The sequence below is a fragment of the Homo sapiens genome, chromosome 12 (assembly GCF_000001405.40).
Source record: "Homo sapiens chromosome 12, GRCh38.p14 Primary Assembly".
Classification (NCBI taxonomy): Eukaryota; Metazoa; Chordata; class Mammalia; order Primates; family Hominidae; genus Homo; species Homo sapiens.
This window is the reverse complement of record NC_000012.12, coordinates 7,781,067-7,800,691: the sequence shown is the minus strand read 5'-3', so window position 1 is coordinate 7,800,691 and position 19,625 is coordinate 7,781,067. Positions and strand designations below refer to the sequence as shown.

The 19,625-nt window shown below is 44.5% G+C and overlaps 1 protein-coding gene across 2 annotated transcripts, besides 20 other annotated features; it reads right to left on the bottom strand.

Annotated features, from left to right (window-relative positions):
• Positions 1,214-1,780: an enhancer, noted in NCBI's record as "OCT4-NANOG-H3K27ac-H3K4me1 hESC enhancer chr12:7951508-7952074 (GRCh37/hg19 assembly coordinates)". NCBI's record gives its function as "activates a minimal SCP1, AML or CMV promoter by ChIP-STARR-seq in naive H9 embryonic stem cells {active_cell/tissue: H9 hESC(naive)}" and the evidence as "EXISTENCE:reporter gene assay evidence [ECO:0000049][PMID:30033119]".
• On the bottom strand, positions 1,546-11,290 carry NANOG (Nanog homeobox). 2 transcript variants are annotated; one of them, NM_024865.4, is made up of 4 exons: positions 10,927-11,290; positions 7,480-7,742; positions 6,149-6,235; positions 1,546-6,013 (listed from the first exon to the last, which is right to left on the bottom strand). In NM_024865.4, the coding sequence occupies exons 1-4, from the start codon at positions 11,075-11,077 to the stop codon at positions 5,597-5,599; spliced, it is 918 nt and encodes a 305-aa protein (NP_079141.2). In that variant the 5' UTR covers positions 11,078-11,290; the 3' UTR covers positions 1,546-5,596. The 2 variants fall into 2 exon arrangements, with proteins under 2 accessions (NP_079141.2, NP_001284627.1); NM_001297698.2 differs by having other exon boundaries at positions 4,631-5,965.
• Positions 1,781-2,346: an enhancer, noted in NCBI's record as "OCT4-NANOG-H3K27ac hESC enhancer chr12:7950942-7951507 (GRCh37/hg19 assembly coordinates)". NCBI's record gives its function as "activates a minimal SCP1, AML or CMV promoter by ChIP-STARR-seq in naive H9 embryonic stem cells {active_cell/tissue: H9 hESC(naive)}" and the evidence as "EXISTENCE:reporter gene assay evidence [ECO:0000049][PMID:30033119]".
• Positions 11,051-11,674: a conserved region, noted in NCBI's record as "conserved region; CR1". NCBI's record gives the evidence for it as "COORDINATES:sequence alignment evidence [ECO:0000200][PMID:19522013]".
• Positions 11,051-14,940: a biological region, named in NCBI's record as "NANOG 5' regulatory region". NCBI's record gives its function as "regulatory_interactions: NANOG".
• Positions 11,091-11,691: a DNaseI hypersensitive site, noted in NCBI's record as "promoter (P1) DH site; the nucleotide coordinates are approximate for this feature". NCBI's record gives the evidence for it as "EXISTENCE:in vivo cleavage assay evidence [ECO:0001075][PMID:25077040]".
• Positions 11,194-11,243: a protein binding site, noted in NCBI's record as "PBX1 sites 2 and 3; probe 6". NCBI's record gives its function as "positive regulation of promoter activity" and the evidence as "EXISTENCE:protein binding evidence [ECO:0000024][PMID:19522013]".
• Positions 11,260-11,551: a promoter, noted in NCBI's record as "-258 to +34 P1 promoter". NCBI's record gives the evidence for it as "EXISTENCE:reporter gene assay evidence [ECO:0000049][PMID:25077040]".
• Positions 11,270-11,673: a promoter, noted in NCBI's record as "-380 to +24 promoter". NCBI's record gives the evidence for it as "EXISTENCE:reporter gene assay evidence [ECO:0000049][PMID:15743839]".
• Positions 11,294-11,343: a protein binding site, noted in NCBI's record as "KLF4 sites 1 and 2; probe 4". NCBI's record gives its function as "positive regulation of promoter activity" and the evidence as "EXISTENCE:protein binding evidence [ECO:0000024][PMID:19522013]".
• Positions 11,294-12,883: a promoter, noted in NCBI's record as "-1286/-1 promoter fragment based on primers from PMID:21689639". NCBI's record gives the evidence for it as "EXISTENCE:reporter gene assay evidence [ECO:0000049][PMID:21689639]".
• Positions 11,362-11,441: a protein binding site, noted in NCBI's record as "probe containing 4 SBE (SMAD binding elements)". NCBI's record gives its function as "positive regulation of promoter activity" and the evidence as "EXISTENCE:protein binding evidence [ECO:0000024][PMID:18682241]".
• Positions 11,397-11,410: a transcriptional cis regulatory region, noted in NCBI's record as "Oct/Sox box". NCBI's record gives its function as "important for promoter activity; mediates response to hypoxia" and the evidence as "EXISTENCE:site-directed mutagenesis evidence [ECO:0005528][PMID:25271810]".
• Positions 12,297-12,313: a transcriptional cis regulatory region, noted in NCBI's record as "Lef #2 site; -1020/-1004". NCBI's record gives its function as "mediates positive regulation by Wnt/beta catenin" and the evidence as "EXISTENCE:site-directed mutagenesis evidence [ECO:0005528][PMID:21689639]".
• Positions 12,306-13,150: a conserved region, noted in NCBI's record as "conserved region; CR2". NCBI's record gives the evidence for it as "COORDINATES:sequence alignment evidence [ECO:0000200][PMID:19522013]".
• Positions 12,378-13,067: an enhancer, noted in NCBI's record as "OCT4-NANOG-H3K27ac hESC enhancer chr12:7940221-7940910 (GRCh37/hg19 assembly coordinates)". NCBI's record gives its function as "activates a minimal SCP1, AML or CMV promoter by ChIP-STARR-seq in primed H9 embryonic stem cells {active_cell/tissue: H9 hESC(primed)}" and the evidence as "EXISTENCE:reporter gene assay evidence [ECO:0000049][PMID:30033119]".
• Positions 12,734-12,783: a protein binding site, noted in NCBI's record as "PBX1 site 1; probe 11". NCBI's record gives its function as "positive regulation of promoter activity" and the evidence as "EXISTENCE:protein binding evidence [ECO:0000024][PMID:19522013]".
• Positions 12,778-13,378: a DNaseI hypersensitive site, noted in NCBI's record as "-1.8 kb (P2) DH site; the nucleotide coordinates are approximate for this feature". NCBI's record gives the evidence for it as "EXISTENCE:in vivo cleavage assay evidence [ECO:0001075][PMID:25077040]".
• Positions 13,030-13,081: a promoter, noted in NCBI's record as "-1788 to -1737; P2 promoter". NCBI's record gives its function as "bi-directional promoter" and the evidence as "EXISTENCE:reporter gene assay evidence [ECO:0000049][PMID:25077040]".
• Positions 13,454-13,721: a conserved region, noted in NCBI's record as "conserved region; CR3". NCBI's record gives the evidence for it as "COORDINATES:sequence alignment evidence [ECO:0000200][PMID:19522013]".
• Positions 14,778-14,940: a conserved region, noted in NCBI's record as "conserved region; CR4". NCBI's record gives the evidence for it as "COORDINATES:sequence alignment evidence [ECO:0000200][PMID:19522013]".

Here is a 19,625-nt window from a genome sequence, read left to right as displayed (position 1 = left end):
CCAGACCAGCCTGGCCACCATGGTGAAACACCGTCTCTACTAAAAATATAAAAATTAGCCGGGCATGCTGGTGGGTGCCTGTAGTTCCAGCTACTCAGGAGGCTGAGGGAAGAGAATCACTTGAACCCGGAAGGTGGAGGTTGCAGTGAGCCAAGATCGTGCCATTGCACTCCAACCTGGGAAACAAGACCAAAAGTCGGTCACTAAATAAATAAAAACTTCCAGCCTCGTCTGAAGGTAGTCAGTTACCTCAATTGTTTGTTCACAGTGAATTACAGATCGAACTCCTTGTTCTACTCTTCCCCACTTCTCACTACTGCACTTGTCTTAAAGAAAAACAGAGCTTTAGCTTCTTAACCCACAAATGGTAGTTAACCTCAGAGTATAGCTTAAGGTTCAAGTGTAATACAGTTTATAAATATTTTCCTATGTTGTTGAGTGCTGTGTAAATCTTTTTTTTTTTTTGAGATGGAGTCTCGCTCTGTTGCCCAGGCGGGAGTGCAGTGGCGCTCTCGGCTCACTGCAACCTCCACCTACGGGTTCAAGTGATTCTCCTGCCTCAGACTTCTGAGTAGTTAAGATTACAGGCATGTGCCACCATGCCCAGCTAATTTTTATATTTTTAGTGGAGACAAGGTTTTATCATGTTGGTCAGGCTGATCTCAAACCCCTGAGCTTGTGATCCACCAGCCTCAGCCTCCCAAAGTGCTGGGATTACAGGCGTGAGCCACCGTGCCCAGCCCAGTGCTATGTAAATCTAAAGTACTCTTAAAGGTATTTACCTCCAAACGGAACTCATTTTAATTTCAGTTTTTTTGTTTTTTTGGTTTTTTTTTTTGGAGACGGGGTCTTGCTCTGTCTCACAGGCTGGAGTGCAATGGTGCGATCTCGGCTTACTGCAACCTCCGCCTCCCAGGTTCAAGCAATTCTGCCTCAGCCTCCTGAGTAGCCGGGATTATAGGCCCCTGCCATCATGCCCGGCTACTTTTTATTTAGGAGACGGGGTTTCGCCACGTTGGCCAGGCTGGTCTTGAACTCCTGTCCTCAGGTGATCCACCCACCTTGGCCTCCCAAAGTGTTAAGATTATAAGCTTGAGACACCATGCCTGGCCTGCAAATAGATTTCATAGCTGCTCAATGAGCCAAGAACTACTTTCGTGGCCAGGAATAACTGCCCCTTTGTCTCTCTGATAAGAGCACATTGACACCCATGTTCCAGGTACATCTGTTCTGCAGATCCCTGGCCCTAATTGAATCTCAAATTCTCACCCTTGGTTCTTGTCCTTAGCTCTTGTGACTACGCCAGTGTTATCAGAGGACATGTAAACACTGCTACCCTTTCTACTCCACATGCACCTTATCCTAAATGGATTAATGTATCCCATCTTTTTGCCTGTTTTGTTCCATGTATTTAATTGATTTAATACGATTCTAGCATCTTAATTTGATCTGTGAGCTTTTCTGTTTCTTAATAGTTTGCTTGGTAGTATCATCAGAGGTAGTGCTACCACTGCATTGAAGTAATTTCTCAGATGCTTAACCTTCTAAAATTCTCAAGCACACTTTATTCAAGGACCACAGAGTTTACACCAACTACCCAGAAGCCAGGAATAGCTTAAGGAGAGACTCACCACCAGCAGCTTCTTTTCAATCAAGTTTCACTTCAACCTCACACCCAGGAACCCATTCAAATTCCTACATTTCGGTATCCTTAGTCGAACTAACTTCCTGTGCCGGAAGCTTTTGTCTGTCCCAGTGACTTCTTTCTTTAACAAATTCCCTTCATCTCCCCCTTGAGTCAAAGCCCATGGGGGCCCCAGGAGGCATGCAATATTTACCAAGGGCTCTCCCCCACTTTCCTGCCTCTGTCTGGCAGTTGTTTGCCTTTACTTTTAGGTTTGTAGTCACAGCCTGTATTTTTTCCTGTAGACACACCAGGTTTTCTGAACGGTAGAATTACTCAGAGTAGAATTAACCTTGTCCTTCACCCCGAGAACTGAGCTTGAAATTCACTAATCAAGGCCTGTATTCCTCCCACTTCTGAGTTTTAAATTTATATTATGAAATTCGGAAAACCCAGGCAAATTCAATCCATGCTTCTCTCCTTCAGGTACAAACTGAAATGAAAATGAAAGCTGAGAAATCAAAATAATGAATTTTAAAAACTAAAATATGGTAAAGCTACTAAAATATAGCATTGGAAGTAACACACACCTCCTTTTGGGAAAAGAAAGGAAAATTTTCTAGAGAAAGGAAGAAATGTTAAACAGAGAGCCTTGTACTATCCTTTTTGCCTAATCTCCTATTATTTTTGTTTATTTTTGAGACAGTGACGCTCTGTCGCCCAGGCTGGAGTGGGGTGGCATTATCTGGGGTCACTGCAACCTCCCGGGTTCAAGTGATTATCCTGCCTCCGCCTTCCAAGTAGCTGAGATTACAGGCGCAAACCAAGACCTCTGGCAAATTTCTGTATTTTTAGTAGAGACAGGGTTTCGCCATATTGGCCATGCTAAACTTGAACTCCTGACCTCAGGTGATCCACCTGCCTTGGTCTCCCGAAGTGCTGGGATTACAGGTGTGAGCCACGGCACCTGGCCCACTAATCTTACTGCTTTTGACTGTAGTTATTATTGTTACTTTAAAGATTATTCCAAATAGATCTCTAAATTCTTACCTGCCAAGAGGTTGAAGATTAATACTGGGTGATTAAAAAAAAAAAAGTTCAGAAAACATAATACAGGGCTAGGCTGGTGACTCATGCCTGTAATCTCAGCACTTCGGGAGGCCAAGGCTGGTAGACTGCTTGAGCTCAGGAGTTTGAGACTAGCCAGGCCAACATGGGGAAACCCCGTCTCTCCTAAAAACACAAAAGTTAGCTGGCATGGTGGTGTGCACCTATAGTCTGGGCTATTTGAGAGACTCAGGCAGGAGGATTGCTTGAATCCGGGAAGTCGAGGCTACAGTGAGGTGAAATGGTGCCACTAAGCCCCAGTCTGAGCAGCAGAATAAGCCCGTCTTAAAAAAATAAAAAAGAAGGCTGGGCACTGTGGCTCATGCCTGTAATCCTAGCACTTTGGGAGACCGAGGAGGGTGGATTACCTGAGGTCAGGAGTTCGAGACCAGCCTGGTCAATACGGTGAAACCCCATCTCTACTAAATACAAAGAATTAGCTGGGCATAGTGGCAAATCCCTGTAATACCAGCCACTCGAAAGGCTGAGGCAAGAGAATCACTTGAACCTGGGAGGTGCAGGTTGCAGTGAGTAGAGATTGCATCATTGTGCTCCAGCCTGAGTAACAAAAGTGAAGTTCCATCTCAAAAAAAAAAAAAAAAATTGCCCAGACACGGTGGCTCACACCTATAATCCCACCACTTTGGGAGGCCGAGTCAGGTGGATCACCTGAGGTCAGGAGTTCGAGACCAGGCTGGCCAACATGGTGAAACCCCATCTCTACTAAAAATACCAAAAATTAGCCGGGTGTAATGTTGGGTGCCTGTAATCCCAGCTACTTAGGAGGCTGACGCAGGAGAATTGCTCGAACCCAGGAGGCGGAGGTTGCAGTGAGCCAAGATTGTGCCACTGCACTCCAGCCTGGGCAATAGAGAGAGACTGTCTAAAAAAACAAACGATAGGCCAGGCGCAGTGGCTCACGCCTGTAATCCCAACACTTTGGGAGGCCAAGGCTGGTGGATCATGAGGTCAGGAGTTCAAGACCAGCCTGGCCAACATAGTGAAACCCTGTCTCTACTAAAAATACAATTAGCTGGGCATGGTGGCTCACCCCTGTAGTCCCAGCTACTTGGGAGGCTGAGGCAGGAGAATCACTTGAACTCGGGAGGCGGAGGTTGCGGTGAGCCGAGATCGCTCCACTACACTCCAGCCTGGGCAACAGAGTAAGACTCCAGTCTTAAAAAAAAACAAAATAAAACAAAAAAAAAACACTTGGAATTAGACTGGATAGTCTTAGTAACATTGGACAATTGGGGAAATAATGAGAGAAAAGACTGGAAAAAACCACTCTGATAACCTGCATCATGCTGCTTCAGAGTGAAGGGACGTGCTCTCAGATCAGATACATTTAGGGCAGGCACAAGATGGGAAAAGGACAGTAAAGGATTATTAGTATAATTCACAGATGCCTGCGTAGCTGCTCTTAAGGTGAGAACATAAATCTGTTTCAACTAGCCTTAGAATTTACTTACATATAGGCCTCTGATGAAACTTTAAATGTTAGCATCAATTACAGATTCATACACGGAAATAACCCATTACATTTGTAGATGCACATGTACAATGCACGTAAGTGCCCTTTTTTCTAAAACTGGCATATTTATTATTCATTCATTCTAAAACTGGCATATTTATTTATTATTCATTTATTTACTTATTTATTTATTTATTTTTGAGATGGGAGTTTTGCTCTTGTCGCCCAAGCTGGAGTGCAGTGGTGTGATATTGGCTCACTACAACCTCCACCTACCAGGTTCAAGCGATTCTCCTGCCTCAGCCTCCCAAATAGCTGGGACTACAGGCATAGGCCACCACGCTCAGCTATTTCTATGCATTTCTAAGATAGCAGTGTCCTCAGCTAATTTCCTTCTCCACCCCAACCAAAAATTTAACAAAGATTTATGTTTAAGCTGTATATTTACTCATTGAAACACTCGGTGAAATCAGGGTAAAATCAACTAAAGGAAAAATAGTTGTTTCATTCATTTGAACTTAAACCAACTAAAGCAGTACTCATGTCATTACGATGCAGCAAATACGAGACCTCTTTCTACAAAGATTAGCACAACCAACAAATTAGGGGATATAGCAAAACAGAGCCAAAAACGGTAAGAAATCAATTAAGTATGTTACAGCTTAACCCTTTACCTCAATAGTTTTTAAAAAATAAGCAAAGCCTCCCAATCCCAAACAATACGAATACATCTTCATCACCAATTTGTACTTGTATTTCTTATTCTTGAGGTTAGATTCTAAACCCTAAAGATATCCAAACTAGTATTAGATCTACTTATCTATAGCCAGAGACGGCAGCCAAGGTTATTAAAATGTCTTTTCTAGGCAGGGCGCGGTGGCTCACGCCTGTAAATCCCAGCTGTTAGGGAGGCCGAGGCGGGTGGATCACAAGGTCAGGAGATCGAGACCATCCTGGCTAACACAGTGAAACCCCGTCTCTACTAAAAATACAAAATATTAGCCGGGCGAGGTGGCGGGCGCCTGTAGTCCCAGCTGCTCGGGAGGCTGAGGCAGGAGAATGGCGTGAACCCGGGAGACGGAGCTTGCAGTGAGCCAAGACCGCGCCACTGCACTCCAGCCTGGGCGACAGAGCAAGACTCCGTTTCAAAAAAAAAAAAAAAAAAAGTATTTTCTCCAGGAAGATCCAATAGGAAAAAAAAAAAAAAAGAAACCTCGCTGATTAGGCTCCAACCATACTCCACCCTCCATGAGATTGACTGGATGGGCATCATGGAAACCAGAACACGTGGTTTCCAAACAAGAAAAATCCTATGAGGGATGGGAGGAGGGGAGAGGAAGGATTCAGCCAGTGTCCAGACTGAAATTGAGTAATATCAGTTTCACTCATCTTCACACGTCTTCAGGTTGCATGTTCATGGAGTAGTTTAGGAATAAATCCATGGTTTGTGGAGTACTAAAATACCTAGTGGTCTGCTGTATTACATTAAGGCCTTCCCCAGCAGCTTCCAAGGCAGCCTCCAAGTCACTGGCAGGAGAATTTGGCTGGAACTGCATGCAGGACTGCAGAGATTCCTCTCCACAGTTATAGAAGGGACTGTTCCAGGCCTGATTGTTCCAGGATTGGGTGCACCAGGTCTGAGTGTTCCAGGAGTGGTTGCTCCAGGACTGGATGTTCTGGGTCTGGTTGCTCCAGGTTGAATTGTTCCAGGTCTGGTTGCTCCACATTGGAAGGTTCCCAGTCGGGTTCACCAGGCATCCCTGGTGGTAGGAAGAGTAAAGGCTGGGGTAGGTAGGTGCTGAGGCCTTCTGAAAGAGAAGGAGGGATTAACAGAAAGGGTACAAGGACAACCAGAACTGTCTGTGACTGGAGTTGTGTGTTTCAGGGATGGACAAGATTGAAAGATCACTGAAAGGAAAGAACAGAATGAAGTTTCCTGTTACCTGCGTCACACCATTGCTATTCTTCGGCCAGTTGTTTTTCTGCCACCTCTTAGATTTCATTCTCTGGTTCTGGAACCAGGTCTTCACCTGCAGGAAAAAATGATAGAAATTGTAAAATATTCATAATACAGAGGTACTTTGAATCAAAGTATATTGCTAACTTTTATTCCTGGCCAGGTGCCATATCTCATGCCTGTAATCCCAACACTTTGGAAGGCCAAGGCGGGCAGATTGCTTGAGCCCAGGAGTTCGCTACAGGCTAGCCAACATGAGGAAACACCGTGTCTACAAAAATACAAAAAATTAGCCGGGTGTAATGCTGCACGTCTGTGGTCCCAGCTTCTCAGGAGGCTGAGACGGGAGGATCGCTTGCACCTGGGAAGTGAAGGCTGCAGTGAGCCAAGATTGCATCACTGCACTCCAGCTGCGTGACAACAGAACCAGACTGTCTCAGAAAAAAAGAGAGAAATGAACATTTTGGATAGAAAATAAAGGCAAGGGCCGGGTGTGGTAGTTCACACCTGTAATCCTAGCACTTTAGGAGGCAGAGGCACGTGGATCACTTGAGGTCAGGAGTTGAAAACCAGCCTGGCCAACATGGTGAAGCCCCATCTCTACTAAAAAATACAGTAAAATTAGCCAGGTGTAGTGGCGGGCGCCTGTAATCCCAGCTACTTGGGAGGCTGAGGCAGGAGAATCCCTTGAACCCAGGAGGTGGAGGTTTCATCCATTTGTACTTAAACCAAGTAATGCTAATGTCATTATGATGTCTCATTATGAGGCCACTGCACTCCAGCCTGGGAGACAGAGTGAGACTCCGTCTCAAAAATAAACAAAAGAAAAGAAGGAAATAAAGCCTAGAAGAGGATAAGCCAATTAATGAAGGAAAATGGCCAACAAGTAATAAACAATGATTGGCCTTATTGAATGCACACAGATAAAAAACAAAACAAGCTGGAGTTGCTGGCAGAAAGAAAAAAAGGAAAAAAAAAGTTTTTATTTTAATGAGAACCAGTGTGAGTTAGGGTTTCTCCTACCCTGGTAAGTGGAGTTAGATACTTCTTTTTTATTAAGGAAACGTTGGAAAGATTTTCACAATATTGGTCTGTGCAAGAAAGTGGTTAAATTATGACATAATTATTCACATAATAGAATATTTAAGGAAAGAAAGAGGTGAAGGAAGTTACAAAAGCATTTCATCTTCATAAATTATTTGCAAGAGGCGATGTACGGACACATAGTACACACATCTACATGCATCCACAGAGGTCTTAGCCATGCAAATTAGTCCAATTTTTGTTCACCTTATTCCAAGGACAAAACAAGCCTACCTGTTTGTAGCTGAGGTTCAGGATGTTGGAGAGTTCTTGCATCTGCTGGAGGCTGAGGTATTTCTGTCTCTGAAATCTATCATTGAGTACACACAGCTGGGTGGAAGAGAACACAGTTCTGGTCTTCTGTTTCTTGACCGGGACCTTGTCTTCCTTTTTTGCGACACTCTTCTCTGCAGAAGTGGGTTGTTTGCCTTTGGGACTGGTGGAAGAATCAGGGCTGTCCTGAATAAGCAGATCCATGGAGGAAGGAAGAGGAGAGACTGTTGGGAACAAATAAAAGGACACTTTTGTCTAAAATTTTTCAAATATTAAAATATCCTTTAAAAAAATTGTTTTCAAAGTACTTTGATAATTCCCAGAACCCCAGATCTAAGTAATAAGAAGCAATTTCTTAAGCAGCCCTGGCACTTTGGCAAGCTTTATATAGTATTACTCCAAGAAGTCTTATCAGTATCTCCATTTTGTACATAATAGACTGCGTTGGGAGAGATCTATAATGGTGGCCAATGCATTGCTGAGCGGCGCTACCCCTTTTTTTTAAAATTAGGATGGAGGTTCACTCTTGTTGCCCAGGCTGAAGTGCGATGGTGCAATCTCGGCTCACTGCAACCTCCATCTCCTGGGTTCAAGCGATTCTCCTGCCTCAGCCTCCTGAGTAGCTGGGATTACAGGCAGGCACCATCACGCCTGGCTAATTTTGTATTTTTAGTAGAGACAGGGTTTCTCAATGTTGGTGAGGCTGGTCTCGAACTCCTGACCTCGTGATCCGCCTGCCTCGGCCTCCCGAAGTACTGAGATTACAGGTGTGAGCCACCTCATCAGGCCGGCGCTACCACCTTTTGCTTTAAACTGATGCTCAAAAGCTCCCACACTGGGTGTTAATAGGTCAGAATGGAGATTCACCAATTTTCACGTATTGCATCTCACCCTAAATCACTTTGTTTATGATCTTCATCAACACCTACATGATTGCTTAAATGCCATGATTCTGGGGATTCTATAAAACCAGCACCTCAGCTAGGTGGGATGGCTCATGCCTGTAATCCCAACACTTTGGGAGGCCAAGGTGGGCAGATCACTTGAGGTCAAGAGTTCAAAACCAGCGTGCCAACATGGTGAAACCCCATCTCTACTAAAAATTACAAAAATTAGCCAGGAGTGGTGGCGCATGCCTGTAATCCCAGCTACTGGGGAGACTGAGGCAGGAGAATCACTTGAACCCAGGAGGCCGTGATTGCAGTAAGCCGAGAGTGCCACTGCACTCCAGCCTGGGTGACAGAGTGAGACTGTCTCAAAAAAATAAAAAACAAAACCAGCAACTGACTGCCCAGTTCTCAATGCTAGGACCAGCAGGATATGTGAATCCGGATAAGCTTCTGTTTCAATCCAGGCCTTCCCTTTACTAGCTCTGACCTCATCTCTAAAATTATTTTTTTATTAATTAAAATGAGGTAACCAATTGAAATTCTCTAGCATAGGGCCTGGCATTTACTGATTTTGTAACTAGAAATGAATATCTAGATTTAGTCATCACTTATATACCTAATTGCTCTGCGGTTTTCCCAGTGTTCAACTCTCAATTCTACCCCTGCAGTCACATAACAAAGGGACAGGCTCTAAAACAGCAAAAATTAACAATCTCTTCTCTCTTGCAAGTAGATCTGAAAAGCAGAGGAAGCCTTTCAACTAATGATTAGAATTGGGGAAAATCCTAAATATTAGCTACCTATATAAACTGTCACTTGATGTGTGCTAAAGAAAACACATCCCCACTTGCTCATTCCCAAACCCAGCAATGTATTTTTAACATTTGAAATTATAAAGGTGGCCAGGCGCGGTGCCCAGCCAAGGCAGGTGAATCACTTGAGGTCAGGAGTTTGAGACCAGCCTGGCCAACACACCGAAACCCCTTCTCTACTAAGAACTACAAAAATTAGCTAGGCGTGGTGGCATACATCTGTAATACCTGCTACTCGAGAGACTGAGACAGGAGAAATCACCTGAACCTAGGAGGCGGAGGTTGCAGTGAGCCAAGATCACGCCACTGCACTCCCGCGTGGGCAACAGAATGAGACCCTGTCTCAAAAAAAAAAAAAGAAAGAAAGAAAGAAAGAAATTATAAAGGCAAGAACATTAATGCATAGTTTAGAAAAACTGGGTGAATAGCCATGCAGAGTGGGTCAGCGCCTGTAATCCCAGCGACTTGGGAAGCTGAGGGTGGAGGATCACTTGAGGTCAGGAGTTCAAGACCAGCCCGAGCTGCAAAGTGAGACCCTGTCTCTACAAAAATAATTTTTTAATTAGCTGGGCATAGTGACACACGCCTCTTGTCCTAGTAGTTGGGAGGCTGAGGCAAGAGGATCACTTGATCTCAGGGTTGAGGCTGCGGTGATCCATGATCACACCATTGCACTCCAGCCTATGTGACAAAGTGAGTCCCTGATTCTAAAAAAGAGGAAAAGCAGGGTGACATTCAAATCTGAGGCTCAAATATAGCAATCATGTTTACTTATTCCTTTTCCACAACCTACTCTTTACAACTGTAGTCATAATGTAAATGCGCTTTTTAAGCTATTTTACAGCGTTCAGTGTTACCAATGGCATTCTTGGTAAAGTTGGTTCATTCTCAAGTTTTTGAAAACTACTGAAAAATTGATTTTCAAAAAAGTGGTAGCGGCTTTATGAGTATCCCGAGTATCCCCCACCCCTTGCAGCTACCAGTCAGAAGCATGAGTACTAGCACAGGTTTTGAAGCCAAACTGGACTTCTAGCTACATTCTGTTTGACTGTCAGTAGATTAAACTTTCTGGAATTATCTTTACCATAAAGTTGGGTCAACGCTTCCCAGGACTTAGGAGAATTAGACATGGGAGGTGCTCCCAAACTCAGAGCTGCCCAGTAACATCCACAAACCCAGAGAATGGAGAAGAGACAGCCGTTACTGACATAGAAAGAATTACCCAAATTATGTATTACAGAAATCTCATCGTGATTTGCCATGCCATTTTTGGCAAAACAAAATCATGCTCATCCCTGAGCTATGACGTTAGGTCTTCTGGCTAATTAGCAATAAATCTGCTATTTATTCACATGTGTCCAGCACTATGTGAAGATGTACACATCACCTTCATTTAACTATAACGATACATTTTTGTTTCCACCATGCCTAAGCCCATAGGTTCTCAAACTTACTGCACACTGTTCAACTGCCGAATTCTGTGTCCTTCAACTCAATGCACACTCCTGAGACCTGGGACATAGTTCAAAGGGCAGGTGCCACCAAGTTATAATGGAAAAAGGGGTTTCCAGAGGATTAGTTGATAATAACACTTCTTTATAGTAATGGTCCATCATTGCTCAAGAGGGAAATGATCCCTTAACCCTCTCTCCTTCTCTCTTTTCCCTTAAGGAACTTGGCCTTTCAAGGATAAATTTCTTTCTTACCAGTCTCCGTGTGAGGCATCTCAGCAGAAGACATTTGCAAGGATGGATAGTTTTCTTCAGGCCCACAAATCACAGGCATAGGTGAAGATTCTTTACAGTCGGATGCTTCAAAGCAAGGCAAGCTTTGGGGACAAGCTGGATCCACACTCATGTTAGTATAGAGGAAGAGGAGGAAAAAATTTAAGAGGTGGACTGGAAAAAAGGTTAAGGCAGCTTTAAGACTTTTCTGGAAGATGTTAGAGAAATAGGACCTCCAGAAGGAAAAGTATCAAGAAATTGGGATAAAGTGAGTTGCCTGCATAATAACATGAGGCAACCAGCTCAGTCCAGCAGAACGTTAAAATCCTGGAGTCTCTAGATTTATAATGAAGGCTCTATCACCTTAGACCCACCCCTCCTGGCGGGCACACCCCCTACTGACCCACCCTTGTGAATTCTCAGTTAATCCCGTCTACCAGTCTCACCAAGGCCATTGTAATGCAAAAGTAGCTGCAGAGTAACCCAGACTAGGTGGGGAACTAGAAAACCGAGCAACAGAACCTGAAGACAAACCCAGCAACAAATACTTCTAGGTTCACCACGTTTCCAACTTTTAAATCAGGAATATGGTTCAACAGGAATGGGATAAAACTTTAATATTTTTAAAAATTAAGAAAAAGGCCGGGCGCGGTGGCCCACCCCTGTAATCCCAGTAAATTGGGAGGCCGTGGCAGGCGGATCACCTGAAGTCAGGAGTTTGAAACCAGCCTGGCCAACATGGCGAAACCCCCTCTCTACTAAAAATACAAAAATTAGCCACGCATGGTGGTGGGTGTCTGTAGTCCCAGCTACTCTGGAAGCTGAGGCGGGAGAATCCCTTGAACCTGGGAGGCAGAGGTTGTGGTGAGCCGATATCGCGCCACTGTACTCCAGCCTGGGCAACAGAGCGGGACTACGTCTCAAAAAAAAAAGGGGGGGGTGGGGGATGCATGCACCTTAAATTCCTGAGGTTATTGAAATTCTCATTAGGGTGATTTCTTGATTTGAGATAACTTAGTGTCTCAAAATCTGGCTAGTTTAGGCAGAAATTTCAACTAGCTCCATTTTCCTCTTTCATTCACTCTGAGGTTATAGTGAAACACAACATGGCATTATAGCATGAAGCCAAGGCATCAGTTAATGTTGAAAATGGTACTTGTTTTCAGCACCTACCTTAGTTTCCTTTAGTTTGGTTTCTTGTCTATCCCTCCTCCCAGGTAGTCGACTTCTGGCTTTTTCCCTCTGGCTCTTTAGCTTCTTCCCAGGTCTGGTGATTTGTCATGTCTTTCAAGACTACTCCGTGCCCATCTCGTGTGGGTGTGTGTGTTTCTGGGGGAAGGGAGGTGTTTTCCAAAGGAACAAAGTTTTTAGAGTGGGGTTCCAGCACTAACATTTATGGACAAAGTCTACAGTTTTCGATTTTCCTTCCTATTCCCAAACCCAACATTCAAGAAACCTAAGATTTCTTTCTCTTTTCCAGTCTTCCATACCGAAAAGTAAACTCTTAGCAAATCCCGATTATGTAATTTTTGAAGACAAAACTCTTTGACTCATTCTCCTCTGCACTCTGCTCCTGGGTCTGCACCCAGAGCAGCTGGCTTTGCTCCCACACAAGCTGACTTTTGTTCACAATGCAAAGACTCGAAAAGTATTGCTTGATGTGAAACAAGGAAATGAAATTGGGCGTAATCTTTTTTCTTCTCAGACTACCATTCCGGAGAAGATTAAGCATAGGGGCATCAGGGAGCCGGTGAGTGGGGCTAGTACATCATGCTTCAGGCAGATAGTCTATGTCTCGTAGGAAATAGGATGATTTCTTTAAAAGAAGGGAAAAACTTGCCCTCCTGTCTCTCTTAATCAGCACAGTTTGTTAAGTGGGGGCTGTCAAGGCCACCAAGACTCACCGAGGCTGAGCTTGCCCGCAGCTCTCCAAAGGGCAGGTACCAGAAGCTTTGTTCTTTGCAGAAGGGGGTCTTTGCATAAAAGCCTGAGCTGAATTCCCCCATCCCCCGCTCCCTGTCCCATTGTGTCTAGGGTAAGAGCCTCCGGAGTGAAAGACCAAAGGGAAGGGGCTGGTGGCTGGAAGGCCGACTTACTACATTCTTCGCCAAGGAAAGCAATTGGAATAAAGTTGAGGTTTAGGAAGCTATCTGACTTTAGATTTTTTGGAACAGGCTGGACTAAGGATGTGTTAAAATGAGCTAACGGCTGGGCACGGTGGCTCACACCTGTAATCCCAGCACTTTGCGAGGCCGAGCCAGGTGCATCATCTGAGATCAGGAGTTCAAGACCAGCCTGACCAACATGGTGAAACCCTGTCTGTACTAAAAATACAAAAATTAACTGGGCTGGGCGTGGTGGTGCACGCCTGTAATCCCATCTACTAGGGAGGCTGAGACAGGAGAATCACTTGAACTCCAGAGGCGGAGGTTGCAGCGAGCCGAGATCACGCCACTGCACTCCAGCCGAGGAGGCACAGTGAGACCTTGTCTCAAAAAAAAAAAAAAAAAGATTTAGTAGAGTAGATCAAATAGACCAAAAAGACAATTATAATGTTAATTGTAAGTGTAAAGTTGTGTAATAAGTAAGGAAAAAAAGTGCACTGGATGCTAAGAGAGTACAAATAATGGAGGTTGGGGTAGGGGAGGGATGGGCAGGGAAGATTGGACGATCCTCAGTGATCTGAGAAGGAAAAATGTGGAGAGAAGGGAATACCAGAAAACTAACAGTTTGGGTAAAGGCATGAGAGAAAATGATGGGTTCCAATACTGTTGTTTAGCAGGACTCAAAGGCAGGGGTGCAACAGGAGGGAGTTGTGGGAGAGAACACGGCAACTAACACTTAGTGAGCAGATTACTATCAGAGCTGTGTGAACCAGAACGACTCCATCTTCAATAGGAGCTGGGTAAAATGAGGCTGAAACCTACTGGGCTGCATTCCCAGATGGTTAAGGTGTTCTAAGTCATAGGATGAGATAGGAGGTCAGCACAAAATACAGGTCATAAAGACCTTCCTGATAAAACAGGTTGCAGTAAAGGAGCTGACCAAATCCCACCAAAATGAAGATGGGAGACTTTTTGAATAATTCAAGTGATAGGATTTGGATAGGGCAATAGGTAGTGTTGGAGATGATTAGGAAAGGTCAAGTGCAGCTTGAGTTGACACACATGCCAAATGTGAACCTACCCTTTGGCCAGGCGACACAGGTAATATACTATCTGTCTATCTATCTATTTATCTAGCTAGCTAGCTAGCTACCTATCTGATTTATCCCCCTACTACCACTAGAATATAAGCTCTGTGAGGGCAATTTTTTTTTTTTTTTTTTTGAGATGGAGTTTCCCTCTTGTTGCCCAGGCTACAGTGTAATGGCGCAATCTCGGCTCACCGCAACCTCCGCCTTCTGGGTTCAAGCGATTCTTCTGCCTCAGCCTCCAGAGTAGCTGGGATTACAGGCACACACCACCATGCCTAGCTAATTTTTTTGTATTTTTAGTAGAGACGGGGTTCACCATGTTGGCCAGGCTGGTCTAGAACTCCTGACCTCAGGTGGTCCACCCACCTTGGCCTCCCAAAGTGCTGGGATTACAGGTGTAAGCCACCGCGCCAGCCTATTTTTATTTTTGCCTGTTTAATTTATTATCTACAGCCCTAGAAGAGTATGAATGGATCATTCACCAGCATCCTCAGCACCACTTGGAAGCTTGTTAGAGATGCTGATTGATGGGCTTCACCACTGAATAGGAATCTTTGGTGGTTGGGACCAGGAATCTGTGTTTTAAAATTCTCCCTGTGATTTTTTTTTTTTTTTCATGACAGCCTACCATTGAAACCAGGTGATTTTTCTGAATGCTATTGTTTAAGAACTACTCTTCTAGAGAGAACCAGGCAAAAAGTAGAAAATCATTATTTGTTGATGAAGGAATGGGCATAAATGAGAACTAGGGTTTTGTAAACAAATAGAGAGTAGGAGTCATTTCCTTACATTTAAATATTGAACTGCACATCAATGTGATATACAGAATAACTCTTGAAAACAACAATGCTCTTTGCCTCAGGTCCCCTACACTGACAATTCAATGAGGCTTGAACAATGAGCCTTTAATTTACAACAGTCCTCCTTCCTCTGGGAGGTAGAGTTACTCTCCAATTACCAATGATGGGAAGATGAACACCACAGCTACGGAAACTGCTAGTTTGAAGATTACAGATGGAATTATACAGCATATTCTTCACTTATTTTGCCTGTTATACCTATAAAAACACAAGCAGCTAGGTGCAGTGGCTCACGCCTGTAATCCCAGCACTTTGGGAGGCCGAGGCGGGCGGATCACGAGGTCAGGAGTTCGAGACCAGCCTGACCAACATGGTAAAATCCTGTCTCTACTAAAAATACAAAAATTAGCCAAGGATGGTGGCATGTGTTTGTAATTCCAGCTACTCAGGAGGCTGAGGCAGGAGAATCGCTTGAACCCAGGAGGCAGAGGTTGCGGTGAGCCAAGATCACGCCATTGCCCTCCAGCCTGGGCAACAAGAGCGAAATTCCGTCTCAAAAAAATAACCCAAAACAAAACAACACATTTCTTCTCTTAATTTTTTTATTATGATTTTTTTCCTATGGTGCTGAGAAAAAAATTTCTGACTCACGGCTCAGCTTTGAATTTGTCAGATCTTACTCTAACTAAAGGCTTTTAATATTCAAGGACTGAATTACTATGTATACCAAGTTCTAAGGTCTACTGGAGAGTTCAGAAGACTAAACCATCAAGCCGAATTGTCAAAAATAGTCCTGACCATTTTTTGGTTCCTGAAAAATAGGAGGAAAAAAAAATGGTCCTGACCTTGACCAACACTATTGTTGCCAGGGTATTTATGACTTCCTCCTTCCCACCCTACCCTCAGGGGACCTTTGACCCAATGTAAAAAGGGATTTCTTTTTAACCCCTAGTAAGTCTAGCCCGCAGGGAGGAGGAATATCTAAGAATGCCTTCCAAAGTTTAGCATATAGAACCTTGCTCTGAAATAGTATAATATTATTGGCCAGAAGAGAATCGCCTTCTCAATTTCTCAGTAGGTGTTAGAGAAGGAGGAAGAAGAACATGTGGGCGGAGTTCAGGAAGGTGAAGTGATGATGTTGAGGAGAGAAAAGTCCAGCACCTATGACAATTCTCTTATCTTGACTTTAGCTGTTGCTCCAGTTAGCTGTTGACCCTAATAATACAGCATCTAAATAGTGAATTATCTAGGCAGTGAGTTATCCCAATTGATTGTTCAGGATCAGTTACAGATCATACTCCTTGCTCTACTTCCCCCCCCCCCTCACTACTGCAGTTGAGTAGTATTAAAAGCTTTTTACAAAAAATAAATAAATAGTAAGAATATTGCAGGACATCAGAGTATTTCAGTTATTGTAAAGGGGTTGGAGGAAGAGGGGGCAAGAGGTCCCTGCCACCAGGAGCAAATAAGTTTAATTATGTAAAAGAAAGAGTTCAGCCAGGTGCTGTGGCTCCTGCCTGTAATCCCAGCACTTTGGGAGGCTGAGGTGGGTGGATCACGAGGTTAGGAGTTCGAGTCTAGCCTGACCAACATGGTGAAACCCCGTCTCTGCTAAAAAAAAAAAAAATACAAAAATTAGCCAGGCATGGTGGCGCTTGCCTGTAATCCCAGCTACTCAGGAGGCTGAGGCAGGAGAATTGCTTGAAACCCGTGAGGCAGAGGTTGCAGTGAGCAGAGATTGCTATTCAGCTAGGAAAAAAATTAATTATATCACCGGCCAGGCGCAGTGACTCACGCATATAATCCCAGTACTTTGGGAGGCGGAGGCGGGAGGATCGAGAGGTCAGGAGTTTGAAACCAGCCTGGACAGCATGGTGAAACCCCATCTCTACCAAAAATACAATAATTAGCCGGGCATGGTGGCACCTGTAGTTCAGCTACTTGGGAGGCTAAGGCAGGAGAATCGCTTGAAACTGGGAGGCGGAGGTTGTGGTGAGCTGAGATCGCACCACTGCACTCCAGCCTGTGTGACAGAGCGAGACTCCATCGAAAGAAAGAAAGAAAGGAAAGAAAAGAAAGAAAGAAAGAAGAAAGAGAGAGAGAAAGAAGAAAGAGAAAGAAAGAAAGAAGGAAAGAAAGAAAAGAAAGGAAGGAAGGAAGAAAGAAAGAAAGAAAGAGAGGGAGAGAGAAGGAAGGAAGGAAGGAAAGGCCGGGCCCATGAGCCACGGAGCCCGGCCTCTGCTCATCTTTTAAGGCTGAATTTAAGTACCACATTTTTCTTTCTTTCTTTTTTTTTTTTTGAGACAGAGTCTCGATCTGTCGCCTGGGCTGGAGTGCAGTGGCGCAATCTTGGCTCACTGCAACCTCCGTCTCCCAGGTTCAAGCGATTCTCCTGCCTCAGCCTCCCGAGTAGCTGGGATTACAGGCATGCGCCACCACCCCGGCTAATTTTGTATTTTTAGTAGCGACGGGGTTTCTCCATGTTGGTCAGGCTGATCTTGAACTCCCGACCTCAGGTGATCCGCCTGCCTCGGCCTCCCAAAGTGTTGGGATTACAGGCGTGAGCCACCACGCCCAGCCAACTAAGGATGATTTTCACATCTTTAAATGATTAGGGGAAAAATCAAAATAATATTTTATAACTTGTGAAAAGTATACAAAATTCAAATTTCTGTGTCTTTTTTGTTTTTTTTTTCTTTTCTTTTCTTTTAAGGAAACAGGGTTTTGGCCAGGCAAGGTGTCTCCCGCCTGTAATCCCAGCAATTTGGGAGGCTGAGGTAGGAGGATCACCTGAGGTCAGGAGTTGAAGACCAGCCTGGCCAACATGGTGAAACTCTATCTCTACTAAAAATACAAAAATTAGCTGGGCATGGTGGCCTACACCTATAATCCCACCTGCTCTAGAGGCTGAGGCATGAGAATCTCTGAACCTGGGAGGCGGATGATGCAGTGAGCCAAGATGGTGCCACTGCACTCCGGCCTGGGCGACAGAGGAAGACTCCGTCTCAAAAAAAAAAAAAAAAAAAAAAAAAAGAAACAGGGTTTTGCTCTGTCACCCAGGCTTGAGTGCAGTGATGCTGTCATAAGTCACTGCAGTCTCAAACTCCTGGTCTGAAGCAATTCTCCTGCCCCAGCCTCCCTAGTCCCTAGGGCTACAGGTGTGTGCCACCACCCCTGGCTAATTAAAAAACAAAAACAAAAAAACACTTGTAGAGAATGGGTCTCACTATGTTATCCAAAATGTTGGGATCACAGGCGTGAGCCACCGTGCCTGGCCTGCAAATTATTATGTGTTGACTACTTGGCCCTTTGGAGATAGTTTGCTGACCCTGGTGCTACACAAAAGTGATGAGTCTTTTTTTGTTGTTTTTTTAAGATGGAATCTTGCTCTGTCGCCCAGGCTGGAGTGCGGTGGGACCACAGGCACGTGCCCTGGCTAATTTTTTTATGTTTTGTAAAGATGGGGTCTTGCTATGTTGCCCAGCCCAGGCTGGTTTCAAACTCCTGGGTTCAAGCGATCCTCCCACCTTGGCCTCCGAAAGTGTTGGGATTACAGGCATGACCCACTGTACCCAGTTGATAATTTTTTTTTTTAAAGACAGAGTTTCACTCTTGTCGCCCAGGCTGGAGTGCAGTGATGTGATCTGGGCTCACTGCAACTTCCATCTCCCAGGTTCAAGCAATTCTCCTGCTTTAGCCTCCTGAGTTGCTGGGACTACAGACACCTGCCACCACGCCCAGCTAAATTTTTGTATTTTTAATAGAGACGGGGTTTCACCATGTTGGCCAGGCTGGTCTCGAACCCCTGACCTCAAGTGATCCACCGACCTCGGCCACCCAAAGTGATGGGGATTACAGGTGTGAACCACCGCGCCTGGCCTAGTTCTGCCATTATTATTATTATTATTTTTTGAGACAAAGTCTCGCTCTGTTGCCAGGCCGGAGTGCAGTGGCGTGATCTCTGCTGACTGCAACCTCCACCTCCCGGGTTCAGGCAATTCTCAGGCCTCCCAAGTAGCTGGGATTACAGGCATGTGCCACCACACCCAGCTAATTTTTGTATTTTTAGTAGAGACGGGGTTTCACCATGTTGCCCAGGATGGTCTTGATCTACTGACCTTGTGATCCACCCACCTTGGCCTCCCAAATGCTGGGATTACAGGTGCGAGCCACCATGCCTGGCCAAGTTCTGCCATTATTAACATTTACCTAGGCATGGTACATTTGTCACAATTAATTAATCAATATTGGGTAATCAATATTGATTAATTTTGATTAATCAATATTAATCTTGATGGAATCCTGTTATTAATATTGATTAATGTTTAGGATTCTGGAACATAAAAAGACCATAGATTAAAAACTTGTTTTTTTAATGTGTGCTTTTTTTTTTTTTTTTTTTGAGAGGTCACTCTGTAGCTAGGCTGGAGTGCAATGGTGCGATCTCGGCTCACTGCCACCTCCACCTCCCAGATTCAAGAGATTCTCCTGCCTCAGTCTCCCGAGCAGCTGGGATTACAGGCACGAGCCACCACGCCAGGCTAATTTTTTGTATTTTTAGTAGAGCTAGGGTTTCACCATGTTGGCCAGGCTGGTCTTGAACTCCTGAGCTCAAGTGATCCTCCCTCCTTGCCCTCCCAAAGTGCTGGGATTACAGGTGTGAGCCACTGTGCCCGGCCTAAAAA

Coding starts and splice junctions, on each gene's coding strand:
- NANOG (NM_024865.4), bottom strand. CDS start 11,077: ATGAGTGTGGATCCAGCTTGTCCCCAAAGCTTGCCTTGCTTTGAAGCA. Junction 7,743..10,926: donor GATGCCTCACACGGAGACTG/GTAAGAAAGAAA, acceptor TGTTCCCAACAG/TCTCTCCTCTTCCTTCCTCC. Junction 6,236..7,479: donor TGAACCTCAGCTACAAACAG/GTAGGCTTGTTT, acceptor TTTTTCCTGCAG/GTGAAGACCTGGTTCCAGAA.